Source organism: Homo sapiens, chromosome 14, assembly GCF_000001405.40.
Source record: "Homo sapiens chromosome 14, GRCh38.p14 Primary Assembly".
Classification (NCBI taxonomy): Eukaryota; Metazoa; Chordata; class Mammalia; order Primates; family Hominidae; genus Homo; species Homo sapiens.
The window spans coordinates 60,820,768-60,837,975 of NC_000014.9; the positions used below are offsets into that span (position 1 = coordinate 60,820,768).

The window sequence follows — 17,208 nt, forward strand, 5'->3', positions numbered from 1 at the left end:
CCTAAATAAATGAATGATGGTAAATAAACAATATTAAACAAATCAGCTCATCACCTCCTTGCTTACTATCTTCCTATGTCTTCCCAGTACACTTAGAATAAAATTCAGAATATTATCTACTTTCTCACCTCTGAGAAAGTGACATTTGTACTAAGAAGTCAATGGTAAAATGGAGTTAGCCATGCAAAAATACAGGCAGAGAAAAGAGCAGTAAAGAAGGCCTAAGGTAAGAAACAGCATTTTCTAGAAACAGACAAAAGATACTGTTAAGAGAATACTTTCCCTACTCTGCCTTGCTCCTTATGCTCAATTCACACTGACCGTTTGACTATTCTATCTAAAGTATCTTTCTCCTGCCCCCATCCACATTATGTTATGCTTTTTAAAATTTTAATATAGAGACAGGGTCTCACTATGTTGCCCAGGCTGGCCTCAAACTCCTGAGCTCAAGTGATCCTCCTGCCTTGGCCTCCAAAAGTGTTAGGATTACAGGCATGGGCTACCACGCCTGGCCCATGTTATGCTTTTTAACCCTTTATAACATATATCACTATCAGAAAGTGTCTTATGGGTACACTGTTTAATGTTTATCTTTACCACTGGAATATAAATTCTGTGTACCTAGAATGATGTTTGTCTCTAGTACCTATTTAATGAATGTTCACTGTGGACCTTCATTAAATATTTTTAAATGAATGACTGAATCTTACATATTAGGCTCACATTTAATAGAATGAAGATCCTGAAGTACTTTCAAGTTTCTGTGACTTTATGGTGTTTACTCTGTTTGGAATATACTTAACTGCTTATGAAAACTTTACTTATAATTTATGCATCGATCAAGTGTGATTTTCATGAACCCTCTTTTGTGTGGAATTTAATTGCATATTCTGATGCTTCCCCTAACATTTTATATGTACTTTTATTATATATTGTAGCTCCTGCCTTGTATTGCAATTGGCTATTTTCCATGCCGGTCTCATTTTAGATGAGCTTCCTTAAGGACACAATGTGTTCTGTGGCATAACTTTATGTGTTCTTGTGGGGACTAAATATTGTACTATGTAATTATTCAAAAAATTTTTTTGAATAAATTATTCTCATTTTTCTTAACTTCAGAGCATTTTGCTTTGCCATTGGGAGATTCACATTTGGGTCAAGAAGAATTTGATGCAATGTACAGCCAAAATAAAAAAATTGTTTTTATAGATATATCTAAATTTCCATCACTCTATCATATTTTTACATTCCATTACCAATGAGAATTACAAATTATGTATTTCTCTTCTTCTGTGTTCTTATCTTTTAATTTTTACCTGTGGTATGTTTTGAAATTTATATAACCTGGCTAGCCCTCTTAGATAGTCTTAGTGCTTTTCTTTGGCCTAAAGAGAGGCAGCATCAGATCTACAACCTTTTTTCACCTAGACAGAATAGTTGCTGGTGGTCTTTCTGTGTTTCGTAATGTTCTATTTATTTAAAAATGAAATGAATTGGAATGGCGAGATGTAAAAGTTTTTGAAGATCACTGATTAATAAATCTGCTAACCTGAACATGATATGAACAAAATACTCTGCAATGTATTTCCTTGAGGAGATTAGGAAATATATCCATTGTGGCAAAGTTGCTTCAGCAGCATACTTTTTAAATTATTTATTTATTTTAAATTTATTTTTAGAGACAGGATCTTGTTCTGTTACTTCAAGCTGGAGTGCAGTGGTGAGATCCTAGCTCACTGTAGCCTACTTCTGGGCTCAAGCCATCCTCCTATTGCAGCCTCCCAAGTAACTGGGTTTACAGGCTCACACCACCACTCTGGGCTAGTTTTTAAGAATTTTTTTTTTTTTTTTTGGAGAGGAGGCAGGGTATAGTTATGTTGGCCAGGCTGGTCTTGAATTCCTGGTCTCAAGCAATCTTGGAACGCCTCAGCCTTCGAAAGTGCTAGGATTACAGGTGTGAGCCAGTGTGCTCAGGCGGGAGCCTACTTTATTTTTTATTTTGTTTTTGAGATGGAGTCTTGGTCTGTCGACCAGGCTGGAGTGCAGTGACACAATCTGGACTCCCTGCAACCTCTGTCCCCTGGGCTCAAGCGATTCTCCCACCTCATCCTCCCCAGTAGCTGGGACTACAGGTGTGTGCCACCACACCCGGCTATTTTTTGTAATTTTGGTAGCAATGGGGTTTCACCATGTTGCCCAGGCCGGTCTGGAACTCCTGAGCTCAAGCCACCTGCCTGCCTTGGCCTCCCAGAGTGTTGGGATTACACTGTGCCCGGCTGAGGAGCACACTTTTAATGATGAAAGAAGTTTCAATCTCAGCTCATCTTGGAGCAAATTTAATAAACCTCCCTCTACTCTGCCTTTTAAAGTATTGGATGAAGAGGTGGGTCTTACACCCTGGCTTTAAGGTCAACAACCTTGAAGACTGACAAAGGGATCAAATTCTAAAACTGAAAACTCACTACTTGGAGTACTCTCCCTTTAGCTATCCCTGAATTCTGTGAGAGCTTGTTAGCAGCAGTGCTCTCTGTTTATCTGATTACTTTTGAGTGGGGATTGGGGAGGGGGAATGTGTTGCACAGATTTTCTTTTTGCCTGAAGGGGTATCTTACCCTGAGTTTGTTTGTAATAATGTTTAACATTCTGCTGCAAGGCATATAGATTTGGAGAGGAAAAAAAATTTCTATCTTTACATTGCCTTTATGTTCTTCTGAATGTCTTTCTCTGAGTGGTATTTAAGACTTCTATTACCTTTAATTTTCTTTCTTGCATCATTACCTTTTATATCTAAGAAATCACTGTACTTGTGGGCTGGGCATGGTGGCTCACGCCTATAATCCCAGCACTTTGGGAGGCTGAGGTGGGCGGATCACCTGAGGTCAGGAGTTTGAGACCAGCCTGGGCAACATGGCAAAACCCCATCTCTACTAAAAATACAAACATTAGCCAGGCTTGGTGGCAGGCGCTTGTAATCCCAGCTACTTGGGAGACTGAGGCAGGAGAATTGCTTGAACTAGGGCGGCAGAGGTTGCAGTGAGCTGAGATTGTGCCACTGCACCCTAGCCTGGGCAACAAAGTGACACTCCATTTCAAACAAAAACATAAACAAGGCTGGGCGCGGTGGCTCATGCCTGTAATCCCAGCACTTTGGGAGGGTGAGGCGGGTGGATCACGAGATCAGGAGTTGAAGACCAGTGTGGCCAAGATGGTGAAACCCTATCTGTACTAAAAATACAAAAATTAGCTGGGCACGGTGGCAGGAACCTGTAATTCCAGCTATTTGGGAGGCTGAGGCAGAAGAATCGCTTGAACCAGGGCGGCAGAGGTTGCAGTAAGCTGAGCTCAAGCCACAGCACTCCAGCCTGGGCGACAGAGTGAGACTCCATCTCAAAAAAAAAATAATAAATCACCATTCTTATGAGATTGTGATAAATATAAAAATGCCAAGCTTTGATTTGTAATATATGAATATTTTTCTTTTCCTTTTATGTATCTATTCATTTTTCTCCCCAACTGCCCATCCAGCTACTTTCTTTGAATTTTAAAATTGCCTACCTTGTTTGTCATATGTGTACTAGCTATTAGGTTATAAACATCTTGAGGGCAGAGGCTTCATATTTTAACATAGTTTTATATGATTGTGGCTATGTAGGTACTTAAATAATATCAGATATTCATGATCAGTTTCAAACTTTCAAATGTTGGAAGTATTAACACATCTTGAAATAATGTAAAGACAAATACTACTCAATAAGGAACTACCAAAGTATTTGAATTAGGAGGCAATAAAGTATAGAAGAAAGAAAATGGGCATAACAGGATTAAATCCCAGATTTACCGTTATTAGATATGTTTCCATGGGTAAGATATTGCTTTACTCTTCTGAGTTTGTTTTCTCATTTGGGAAGATGAGAAATGTTAACTTCATATGATTGTTTAGAATATTGAAATCTATACATAAAATGCTAAAGCTGGTGCCCAATGTATGCTAGCCATGTGGTAAATAGTAATAATTAGCAACCATAATGTTACCATTAATGTTTGTTATTTTTCGTAGTTAGATATATAAATGAATTATTTTATAATGCCCTTGAACCAAATGCTGAATATTGTTATAAGTATTCTGTCACATACTTAAGTTATATTACTCTCAATGTGTGTTAAAATATTGGATCACTTACCCCCACCCCATTGGATCAATTCCAGATGGATAATAGAAAAGTAAAACAATAAAAACATCCTTAAGAGAGTGGGAAAAAAACAAGCCACAAAGTGACAAAAGTTATTTACAACATATGTAACTAATAAAAGGCTTAGATCCAGAAGGTATAAATAACTCATATATGTGATCTAGAGTCTGGAACAGGCATTTCTAAAAATAGGATAGCCAATCCTCAGCCTCATTAGTGACTGGTGAAAGAATATGTAGATTAAAATCACAACACAGCACTAAATACCCACTAGAATGGCTAAACTGGAAATAAAAATCACAGTTGGTTCAAGGGAAAGGTAAAATTTAGAATGGCATAGTATTTACATGAATTCATTAGTGTCAATTTTTTACTGAATGTGGAGACTGACACAGAATACAGATGAAAGTCTAAATGTTTATGAAGTTAAGTATTTTTATAGTCTTTAGAAAAATCAATCCTGAATGAAGGATGAAAAGTAACATTAAGCAACTATATCCCAGGGGTTGATTTTGTTGAACGCCTGCTATAAGCCAGCATAGTCTGGCTGCTGGATATGCAAGAATACAGACATTACTTAAGAATTTGTGACCTATGATAGTTCTTTTTTATAATAAGTATTACTTTCTGTTTTTATATCTTCATAAAATAGATGGTATTCCTATTTTTACAAATGTGAAAACTGAGTCTTTGAGAGGTTAGGTCACATTTAAAAGATGATGCTGAAACTCATTCTCTTTCTATTACATCTCATTTAATTAATGAAAATATTAATAAACTTACACATTCTGATTCAGGTGTCCTCTGAGAGCTAAGATTTGAACTCTTGTTTCTAATAGTGGGCTGATTGTATGACCTAGGTAATTTAAGGGGCAGGAGTCAGCATAATAACTTTCTTTTCCTGATCTGCTCTACTTAAAAAAAGTCAAAACACAAAATGAAGTCGGATGTGCTCAACTTGGAGAGGAACCAAGGAAGGATGTATAAATATGATTAAGGTTTCTGGAAATAGATCCTTTGAGATGTGACAGAAAAGACTGAATTTATTTGTTTAATAAACCTAGAGAAAGTTGAAGGGTTCAAAATGGGCATAAAATAATGACTAAGAAATGAGGATTTTATTATTATATATTCACATAGGTAGGGTTCAGTCAGTCAGTGAACATATTTTGATTAGGAATATTATGAAGGTTGTGCCGGATTTATTATTTGAAGTATATTTTCTAGGAATTAAACTGTCAGGGAGTGGAGTAATGTTAGGCATAGGGTCTTAGAGAAATTAATGTAATTTGTGACTTCAGAATTTAAGAAGGTTCTACTTATCACTATTTTATGCATGAATAGGAGAAATTTTTTTTTTTTTTTTTTTTTTTTTTTGAGATGGAGTCTCACTCTGTCCCCCAGGCTGGAGTGCAGTGATGTGATCTTGGCTCACTGCCACCTCTGCCTCCTGGGTTCAAGTGATTCTTCTGCCTCAGCCTCCTGCTTAGCTGGAACTACAGGTGCATGCCACCATGCCCGGCTAATTTTTTTTTGTATTTTCAGTAGAGACGGGGTTTCACCATACTGACCAGGCTGGTCTTGAATTCCTGACCTCATGATCCACCTGCCTCGGCCTCCCAAAGTGCTGGGATTATAGGCATGAGCCACCGCACCCGGACAGAAACTTCATTTTATAGATTATTGTGCCCTCTGTGTGGTGATAGCTTTTGAACTCTTAAAGTGAGAGCTACAACTTTGTTTCTTGGCCAGGTGTTAGTTATTTTGATCTATTTGGTTCAAATCCTGTCAATATAATTATGCAGCCTTCTATTTCTTTATCATTTTACAAATACTTCTAATTATTTTTACTTAGCTTATGGTTATGGTTACTATTCTTCATTACATCATTCTTAGTTGAACCAGTGAACAGACCTCAAAGTTTTTTTTTTCCCTGATTCATTACTAGATAATTTGTGTCAATAAATATCCATGCAAGTAAATCTTAGTCTTTTGGGAACAAGCGAAGGCACATTGGTCATCTCATAAATTAGGATTGAGATTCTACGGCTGAGGATCTGGTGCTTCTTCATTCTATTTTGCTTGTTTGCAAACTGAAAATAAAATGAGTCACAAAGATAACCTATGGATGTCAAAAGATAATTGTTTTTATGTCAAAAGATAATTGTTTTATGGATCACAAAGATAACCTATGGATGTCAAAAGATAAAAGTACTTAAAAACAAAAGAATTGTTTTTAAGTACTTTTGATAGTCTGTGGTTGGTTTGGGGAGTAGTATGGAGAAACATACCATGCATTAACAAAGGGGAAAACTTTTTAAGTATTTTAACCCTGATGTTTGAAGAGTTTAAAAAAATATTATCTATGGGTGAGCCAGAAGGGAGCAGAGTACTCATTTGTGATATAAATTGCCTTTTCTGAGTGCAACAGATAGTATTTAGCTGTTCGCTTTCAAGCATTGCATATTCCTCTGAACTCATTGGAAGATCTAACCTTGATAAAATATGTGAGTTATAGAAAATTAATACCCGTTCGTATCTGAAAAAGAAAATAAAAATTACATTGAGCAGTCAGTTATGTCCTGTAAAGCCATAAGTTTGTGCCAAACAGCTTAGGTGCTTTACCATTTTGCCAAAGAACAAAAAACAAAACTTGACCAGGTGTTATTAATTTATTCTATTTTTAATATATAATTTGCACTTAGGTAGTAAATCAAGTATAACAACTAAAGAAGTCATGTGCCCTTTCTCAAGTCTTGTGATATGCACATAGCATTAATTTGAATCTATAAAGGTATTTTGAAATGTAAATCAAATTAATAATAGTCTTATCAGATCTTATTATGGCATATAATTAACTAGGTGAGTATCAGGTGATTACTTTCTCTTAGCTTTTAAATGTCTCCAGTTATGTTATTTCACTAAAGTTAGCAGTATATTCTAATTTTCACATGGATATCCCTGAAGAGTTACATGTAAGTAAATAGAAATTTGGTTAATTCCATTCTATTTTAAAGAAAATGGAGGTTCTTAAAACTTAAGATAATCCTTGGTGAGTATTTTAATGTGACCTAAATAAAATTTTTATGAAATGAATAGCTTCATGATTAAAACTGTAAATTTGAATTTTGTTATTTCAGAATTGTTTAAAACAGGTCGTCCTTATTATATTATTAGAAGTTTGAATTGTGGCTTCTCTACTATATATACTAATTGTTTGGTCTTGGGCAAATCACTTTACCTCTTTAAGCCTTAATTACTCAACTCTTAAAAAAGAGATTATGCCTACATTATAGAGTTCCTGAGTATTTTGTGAAGTAATTTTATAAAACTCTCAGGATGCCTGGCTCGTTGTAAAGATACTAAGTATAAATAGGTATAGATACAAATAAAAACTATAATAGCCCAGTAAATTGTGATTGAAGGTAGAGTTTGTGACTTATAACTGTTAATTTTGTACCGTGTAGTTTTTACTAGTTATTTTATCTATAGACTCCTATATAGTAGGAAAAAAACAACTCATTTTCCCCTGCTGCACATATCCAGCACAGAACACTTTTGGTCACCAAAATGTGTTTTTTTTTTTTGGTTGTTATTTCGTTTTCTTTTCTGTACCACACCAACCATTTCTGCAGCAGACACCAATAGGATTTCCTACAGTTTAACCCAATTCTGACACTAACCGGAATTAGTGCAAACCCCACTGGGTAAGATCCCAGTACCACACAACTGCTCCCAACTTCAGACATCAATCGAAAGCTCCAGGTGGTAACCTGTACTGTTGACTAACTGGCTATAAATTGAAGGTTCCCACGATCCCTTCCTGTGGTTCAATTATTTGCTGGAGTGGCTCATGGAACTTTGGGAAACACTTATGTCTACTGATTTATTATAAAGAATATTACAAAGAATACAGATGGACAGCTAGATGGAAAAGATGCATAGGGCAAGGTATGTGGGAAGGGACGTGCATCTTCCATGCCCTCTCGGGGTGGGCTACCATCCTAGCACCTCCATGTGTTCAGCAACCTGGAGGCTCCATGAATCCTGTCCTTTTGGGTTTTTATGGGGGCTTCTTTCCTATAGCCAAGATTGATAAATGACTGGCCACTGGTGATTAACTCAACCTCCTGCCCCTCACCTCTTTCCAGAGGTTGGTGGAACTGAAAGTTCCCAACACACTAATTACAAAGTTGGTTCCCTTTGCAATAAGCCCCTGTTCTGAGGCTATCCAGGACCACCCAGCCATCTTATTAGCATACAAAAAGACACCATTTTGGAGACTACAAACGTTTTAGGAGATGAGTACCAGGAAATGGGATGAAAACCATTTGTATTTCTTATCATAAATCACAATATTACAAGCCCCAAATGCCTAGTAACTCTTTCTTATATATTCCTATATTTCTAGGTAACAATTCAATTGTTCTATGGATATTTAAATGAAAACACTGAAATATTTAGTGTCAATAGTTGGGAAAATTCACAAATAATGAATTATACTCTATGAGTTTTATGTAATATTCTTTCCTTTACCACGGTAAAGGAAAAATTGTTAATAGTCAAACTGTTGGCTTCAGAATTTATGGCAGTGGTTGAATTTATTCCAGAAAATTTGTCTCATGATCTGTCTAGACATGAGCATAGGCAGAAATAATGAGTCTGGATTTTCAGTTATATCAGTTACTTTGTAATGAGGACAAGGTAAAATCAGTATTCTATGAGTGGTGGGAAGCTTTGATTCCTTTAGTCCCACTGAGGGTAACATTAAAGGTGCTTGCAAATGCAGAAATATTCTTAGCCTAGGATGTAGAAATAATGGTTTTCTGCTTAATTTATGAAACAAACATTTTCCTACAAAGTATTCTACATACTGTATACTGCATTGCTTAATGTAATGAGGCAGATTTCAGCTTTATAGATAATTATATTGAGTGCCAATCTGCCTATCAGTAGAGTTTTATCAAGTTCCTATAACATTTGCAAAGCAGTGGTTGCTGTTGGTGTTGCGGATATAGTAATTTTACAAGAATTAGAATTAGGGAAAAAGAAGGAAGATGTGTTTCAATCAGTCTCTGAACATTAACTCACTTAATCGTGAAAACTATCCTGTAGGGTTGATAGTGGTATTCTCATTTATGAGGAGTGGAGTATGGAAGACTTAAATTAAACCTAGAGAAAAGTAGAGTTTCAGAAAAATGGAAAGGACGAAGGAATTTCACATTTAAAAATGAGTATGTGGAAGAATTGTTAGCAAAAGAATGGAGGGTATGAATTTAGCCAAGTTTATTCCATAGTTTTCAGTCAGGAATTTTCTTCTGATGAACTTGCACACTAATTTCAAAACACACATTCATTCTTTGGTTCCTAGAAGGTTATATGAAATTCAGATACATAGATTCACTTTGATGTGTTAGAGCTTTTTACTAGTTAGTGATCTGTTGAATAAGTTAAGGGACACTAAAATTTAGTATTTGTAAATGTTGAAATAAATTTTCTTTTTTTGGTGATTGTTTTAGAGCTATGATTCAGTATTTTCCTGAGAAGTCCGGCTGCCACAAATGTTTGGGAATCTTATAAGGCTCCATCTGCAAATGCTCATGACCAGATATTTCCTGCGATGATTTTTAATGTAATATTTTAATTTTTCAGCTAAGCAGACTTAGTTTTCCTTTGGAATTTTATCAATGCACCATCAGTATTGCCTTGAGTTAACTGTGGTTTTTGTGTTACTATTATGTAGGAAATAATATTAGGTTTTTCTTTGGTTGATCATTTTGTTATATAATTCCTATACAATTTTTATTGCTATTTATTTTGGTCCTCACCACTTCTTCTGCCTTTTTTTTTTTTTAAATCACAGATTGTTTATGTATCAGAATACAATTTGCCACAACTTCAGGGGCTGTGGTTAAGTTTGAAAACCAAGGATTACATTCAGTTATTTTTGCATACTCTCTAACTTTCTTAAACATACTCAACTGAATGGATACATTCCCATTCTGTCAGTGCCGTGCCTCCTGTTAACATTTTTCTACACTAGAAGCTCTTCCCATTTTTGCTGAGAGAGTGTCTGGCATCTTCTCCCAGCCTCCATTCCTAATGATGGCTAGAGCTAAGAATGTATTGCTGCTTTCTTTTGTTCCTTTTTTTTTTTTTTCAATACTTTTAAGTTCTGGGATACATGTGGAGGTTTGTTCTTGGGATACATGTGGAGGTACATGGAGATACATATGGGATACATGTGGAGGTAAGTTCTTGGGATACATGTGGAGGTTTGTTACATAGGTATACACGAGCCATGGTGGTTTGCTGTACCCATCAACCCATCATCTACATTAGGTATTTCTTCTAATGCTATCCCTCCCCTAGCTCCCTGCCCCCAGCAGGCCCTGGTGTGTGATGTTCCCCTCCCTGTGTCCATGTGTTCTCATTGTTCAACTCCCACTTATGAGTGAGAACATGTGGTGTTTAGTTTTCTGTTCCTGTGTTAGTTTGCTGAGAATGATGGTTTCCAGCTTCATCCACGTCCTTGCAAAGGACATGACCTCATCCTTTTTTATGGCTACATAGTATTCCATGGTGTATACGTGCCACATTTTCTTCATCCAGTCTATCATTGATGGGCATTTGGGTTGGTTCCAAGTCTTTGCTATTGTGAATAGTGCTGCAATAAACATATGTGTGCATGTGTCTTTATAGTAGAATGATTTATAATACTTTGGGTATATACTCAGTAATGGGATTGCTGGGTCAAATGGTATTTCTGATTCTAGATCCTTGAGGAATTGCCACACTGTCTTCCATAATGGTTGAATTAATTTACACTCCCACCAACAGTGTAAAAGCATTCCTATTTCTCCACACCCTCTCTAGCATCTATTGTTTCCTGACTTTTTAATGATCGCCATTCTAACTGGCATGAGATGGTATCTCATTGTGGTTTTGATTTGCATTTCTCTAATGACCAGTGATGATGAGCTTTTTTTCATGTGTTTGTTGGCTGCATAAATGTCTTGTTTTGAGAAGTGTCTGTTCATATCCTTTGCCCACTTTTTGATGGGATTGTTTGTTTTTTTTCTTGTAAATTTGTGTAAGTTCCTTGTGGATTCCAGATATTAGCCCTTTGTCAGATAGATAGATTGCAAAAATTTTCTCCCATTCTGTAGGTTGCCTATTCACTCTGATGACAGTTTCTTTTGCTGTGCAGAAGCTCTTTAGTTTGATTAGATCCCAATTTGTCAGTTTTGGCTGTTGCCATTACTTTTGGTGTTTTAGTCATGAAGTCTTTGCCCATGCCTATGTCCTAAATGATATTACCTAGGTTTTCTTTCAGGGTTTTTATGGTTTTAGGTCTTACGTTTAAGTCTTTAATCCTTCTTGAGTTAATTTTTGTATAAGTTGTAAGGAAGGGATCCAGTTTCAGTTTTCTGCATATGGCTAGCCAGTTTTCCTGGCACCATTTATTAAGTAGGGAATCCTTTCCCTATTGCTTGTTTTTGTCAGGTTTGTCAAAGATCAGATGGTTGTAGATGTGTGGCGTTATTTTTGAGGCCTCTTTTATGTTTCATTGGTCTATATATCTGTTTTGGTACCAGTACCATGTTGTTTTAGTTACTGTAGCCTTGTAGTATAGTTTGAAGTCAGGTAGCATGATGGCTCCAGCTTTGTTCTTTTTGCTTAGGATTGTCTTGGCTATACAGACTTTTTTTTTTGGTTCCATATGAAATGTAAGTAGTTTTTTCTAATTCTTTGAAGAAAGTTAATGGTACCTTGATAGGGATAGGATTGACTGTGAATTTCTTTGGGAAGTATGGCCTTTTTCATGACATTGACTCTTCCTATCCATGAGTATGGAATTTCTTTCCATTTGTTTGTGTCCTCTCTTATTTCCTTGAGCAGTGATTTGTAGTTCTCCTTGAAAAGGTCCTTCACATCCCTTGTAAGTTATATTCCTAGGTATTTTATTCTATTTGTAGCAATTGTGAATGGGAGTTCACTCATGATTTGGCTCTCTGCTTGTCTATTGTTGTTGTATAGGAATGCTTGTGACTTTTGCACATTGATTTTGTATCCTGAGACTTTGCTGAAGTTGCTTATCAGCTTAAGGAGTTTTTGGGCTGAGATGATGGGGTTTTCTAAATATACAATCGTGTCATCTGCAAACAGAGACAATTTGACTTCCTCTCTTCCTCTTTGAATACTCTTTATTTCTTTCTCTTGCCTGATTGTCCTGGCCAGAACTACCAGTACTATGTTGAATAGGAGTGGTGAGAGAGGGCATCCTTGTCTTATGCCAGTTTTCAAAGGGAATTCTTCCAGCTTTTGCCCATTCCGTATGATATTGGCTATGGGTTTGTCATAAATAGCTCTTGTTATTTTGAGATACATTCCGTCAATACCTAGTTTATTGAAAGTTTTTAGCATGAAGGGGTATTGAATTTTGTTGAAGGCCTTTTCTGCATCTATTGAGAAAATCATGTGTTTTTTGTCATTGGTTCTGTTTATGTGATTGATTATGTTTTTTGATTTGCATATGTTGAACCAACCTTGCATCCCAGGGATGAAGCTGACTGGATTGTGGTGGATAAGCTTTTGGATGTGCTGGTGGATTCAGTTTGCCAGTATTTTATTGAGAATTTTTGCATCAATGTTCATTGGGGATATTGGCCTGAAATTTTCTTTTTTTGTTGTGTCTCTGCCAGATTTTGGTGTCAGGATACTGGCCTCATAAAATGGGTTAGGGAGGAGTGCCTTATTTTCTATTGTTTGGTATAGTTTCAGGAGGAATGGTACCAGCTCCCCTTTGTACCTCTGGTAGTATTCAGCTGTGAATCTGTATGTTCCTGGGCTTTTTTTGGTTGGTAGGCTATTAATTACTGCCTCCATTTCAGAACTTGTTGTTGGTCTATTCAGGGAATTGACTTCTTCCTGGTTTAGTCTTGGGAGGATGTATGTGTCCAGGAATTTATCCATTTCTTGTAGACTTTCTAGTTTATCTTCGTAGAGGTGTTAATAGTGTTTTCTGATGGTAGTTTGTATTTCTGTGGGATCAGTGGTGACATTCTCTTCATCATTTTTTATTGTGTCTATTTGATTCTTCTCTCTTGTTTATTAGTCTGGATAATGGTCTATCTTTTTCGTTAATCTTTTCAAAAAACCAGCTCCTGTATTCATTGATTTTTTTGAAGTGTTTTTTGTGTCTCTATCTCCTTTAGTTCTGCTCTGATCTTAGTTATTTGCTGTCTTCTGCTAGCTTTTGAATTTCTTTGGTCTTTCTTCTCTAGTTCTTTTAATTGTGATGTTAGTGTGTCGATTTTAGATGTTTCCCACTTCGTACTGCCATAAATTTCCCTTTTAACATTGCTTTAGCTGTGTCCCAGAGATTCTAGTACGTTGTGTCTTTGTTCTCATTGGTTCAAAGAACTTCTTTATTTCTGTATTAATTTCATTATTTACCCAGTAGTCATTCAGGAGCAGGTTGTTCAATTTCCATGTAGTTTGGCAGTTTTGAGTGAGTTTCTTAATCCTGAGTTCTAATTTGATTGCACTGGTGTGTGAGAGACCATTTGTTATGATTTTTGTTCTTTTGCATTTGCTGAGGAGTGTTTAACTTCCAATTATGCAGTCAGTTTTAGAATAAGTGCTATGTGGCACTGAGAAGGATGTAGATTCTGTTGACTTGAGGTGGAGAGTTCTGTAGATGTCTGTTAGGTCCACTTTCTCTAGAGCTAGTTCAAGTCCTGTATATCCTTGTTAATTTTTTGTGTTTTTGATCAGTCTAAAATTGACAGTGGGGTGTTAAAGTCTCCCACTATTGGGAGGGAGTTTGTGTGGGAGTCTAAGTCTCTTTGTAGGTCTCTAAGAACTTGCTTTATGAATCTGGGTGCTCCTATATTGGGTGCATATATATTTAGGATAGTTAGCTCTTCTTGTTGCATTGATCCCTTTACCATTATGTAGTGCCCTTCCTTCCTTCCTTCCTTCCTTCCTTCCTTCCTTCCTTCCTTCCTTCCTTCCTACCTTGCTCCCGCCCTCCCTCCCTCCCTCCCTCTCTCTCTCATTCATTCGTTCATTCGTTCAAAGTCAGTTATATCAGAGTCTAAGATTTCAAGCCTGGCTTTTTTTTGCTTTCCATTTGCTTGGTAAATATTCCTCTATCCCTTTATTTTGAGCCTGTGTGTTTCTTTGCACGTGAGATGGATCTCCTGAATACAGCACACTGATGGTTCTTGACTCTTTATCCAATTTGCCAGCCTGTGTCTTTTAATTGGGGCATTTAGCCTGTTTACATTTACGATTAACATTGTTATGTGTGAATTTGATCCTGTCATGATGCTAGCTGGTTATTTTGCCCGTTAGTTGAGCAGTTTCTTCATAGTGTTGATGGTCTTTACAATTTGCCTTGTTTTTGCCTGTACCAGTGTTTTCTTTCCATATTTAGTGCTTCCTTCAGGAGCTCTTGTAAGGCAGGTTTGGTGATGACAAAATCTCTCAGCATTTGCTTCTCTGTAAAGGATTTTATTTCCTCTTTGCTTATGAAGCTTAGTTTGGCTGGATATAACATTCTGGGTTGAAATTTCTTTTCTTTAAGAATGTTGCATATTGGCCCCCACTCTCTTCTGGCTTGTAGGGTTTCTGCAGAGATCCACTGTTAGTCTGATGGGCTTCAAGGGTAACCTGACCTTTCTTTCTGGCTGCCCTTAGCATTTTTCCTTCATTTCAACCTTGGTGAATCTGATGATTATGTGTTTTGGGGTTGCTCTTTTCGAGGATTATCTTTGTGGTGGTCTCTGTATTTTCTGAATTTGAATGTTGGCCTGCCTTGCTAGGTTGGGGAAGTTCTCCTGAATAATATCCTGAGGAGTGTTTTCCAGCTTGGTTCCGTTCTTTCCGTCACTTTCAGGTACACCAGTCAAACGTAGGTTTGGTCTTTTCACATAGTCCCATATTTCTTGGAGGCTTTGTTCATTCCTTTTCATTATTTTTTTCTCTAATCTCGTCTTCACACTTTGTTTCATTAAATTGATCTTCTATCTCTGATATCCTTTCTTCCCCTTGATCGATTTGGTTATTGATACTTTTGTATGCCTCACGAAGTTCTTGTGCTGTGTTTTTCAGCTCCATCAGGTCATTTATGTTCTTCTTTAAACTGCTTATTCTGGTTAGCAATTCCTCTAACCTTTTTTCAAGGTTCTTAGCTTCCTTGCGTTGGGTTATATCATGCTCCTTTAGCTCAGAGGAGTTTGTTATTATCCACCTTGTGAAGCCTACTTCTGTCAGTTCATCAAACTCATTCTCTGTCCAGTTTGTTCCCTTGCTGGTGAGGAGTTGTGATCCTTTGGAGGAGAAGAGGTGTTATGCTTTTTGGAATTTTCAGCCTTTTTGCACTGGTTTTTCTTCATCTTTGTGGATTTGTCTACCTTTGGTCTTTGACGTTGGTGACCTTTGGATGGGGTTTTTGTGTGGACATCCTTTTTGTTGATGTTGATGCTATTCTTTTCTGTTTGTTAATTTTCCTTCTAACAGACAAACCCCTCTGCTGCAGGTCTGCTGGAGTTTGTTGGAGGTCCACTCCAGGCCCTGTTTGCCTGGGTATCCCCAGCGGAGGCTGCAGAACAGCAAAGATTGCCGGCTCTTCCTTCCTTTGGAAGCTTCGTCCCAGAGGGGCACTGGCTAGATGCCAGACAGAGCTCTCCTGTATGAGGTGTTGTTAAACCCCTGTTGGGAGGTGTCTCCCAATCAGGAGGCACGGAGGTCAGGGACCCACTTGAGGAGGCAGTCTGTTCCTTAGTAGAGCTTGAGTGTTGTGCCAGGAGATCTGCTGCTCTCTTCAGAGCTGGCAGGCAGGAACGTTTATGTCTGCTGAAGCTGCACCCATAGACTCCCCTTCCCCAAGGTGCTCTGTCCTAGGGAGATGGGAGTTTTACCTATAAGCCCCTTACTGGGGCTGCTGCCTTTCTTTCAGAGATACCCTGCCAAGAGAGGAGGAATCTAGAGAGGCAGTCAGGCTACAGCAGCTTTGTGGCACTGCCAAACTTCCCTGATGCTTTGTTTACACTGTGAGGGGAAAATCACCTACTCAAGCCTAAGTAATGATGGATGCCCCTACCCCCACCAAGCTCAAGTGTCCCAGTTCGACTTCAGACTGTTGTGCTGGCAGTGAGAATTTCAAGCCAGTGTTTCTTAGCTTGCTGGGCTCCGTGGGGGTGGGATCCGCTGGGCTAGACCACTTGGCTCCCTGGCTTCAGCCCCCTTTCCAGGGGAGTGAATGGTTCTGTCTCTCTGTCATTCCAGGCACCACTGGGTTATGAAAAAAGAAACTGCAGCTAGCTCAGTGTCTGCCCAAATGGCTGCCCAGTTTTGTGCTTGAAACCCAGGGCCCTGGTGGCTAGGCACCTGAGGGAATCTCTTGGTCTGTGGGTTGCAAAGACCGTGGGGAAAGCATAGTATCTTGGCTGGAGGGCACCGTTCCTCACGGTGCAGTCCCTCATGGCTTCCTTTGGCTAGGGAAGGGAGTTCCCTGACCCCATGCGCTTCCTGGGTGAGGCGATGCCCCATCCTGCTTTGGCTCACCCTCCATGGGCTGCACTCACTGTCTAACCAGGCCCAGTGAGATGAACCAGGTACCTCAGTTGGAAATACAGAAATCACCCGCCTTCTGCATTGATCTTGCTGCAAGCTGCAGACAGGAGCTGTTCCTATTTGGCCATCTTGCCCTCTTTTGTTACTTTTAATCAGAGCCTCTCCTAGATGCTGCCATGGTAGTTTGGAGCCTCCACTGAGTCCCTACTTTGCTGTCTGTTTCCTTTTGGTCTCAGAGTGGTCTAGGACTTATGACTCTTAGGATATTTAGCTCAGAGGTGTTAAATATTCTTAAAAGGAGCAAGAGCTTTTAGCTATACTATTTAAGATTCTGTGGGTTAACAAAGCATTATAAGACGGTTCTTAAGATTGAGAATTTTTAGTAATAGGCTTCTAATGAACACATGAAAGACCTGTAGCCTTTGTAAGTTGG

At 38.0% G+C, this 17,208-nt stretch overlaps 1 protein-coding gene across 6 annotated transcripts in view; it reads left to right on the forward strand.

Annotated features, from left to right (window-relative positions):
• MNAT1 (MNAT1 component of CDK activating kinase) overlaps positions 1–17,208 on the forward strand; it is a 235,205-nt gene that overhangs the window by 86,007 nt on the left and 131,990 nt on the right. The window lies entirely within an intron of this gene.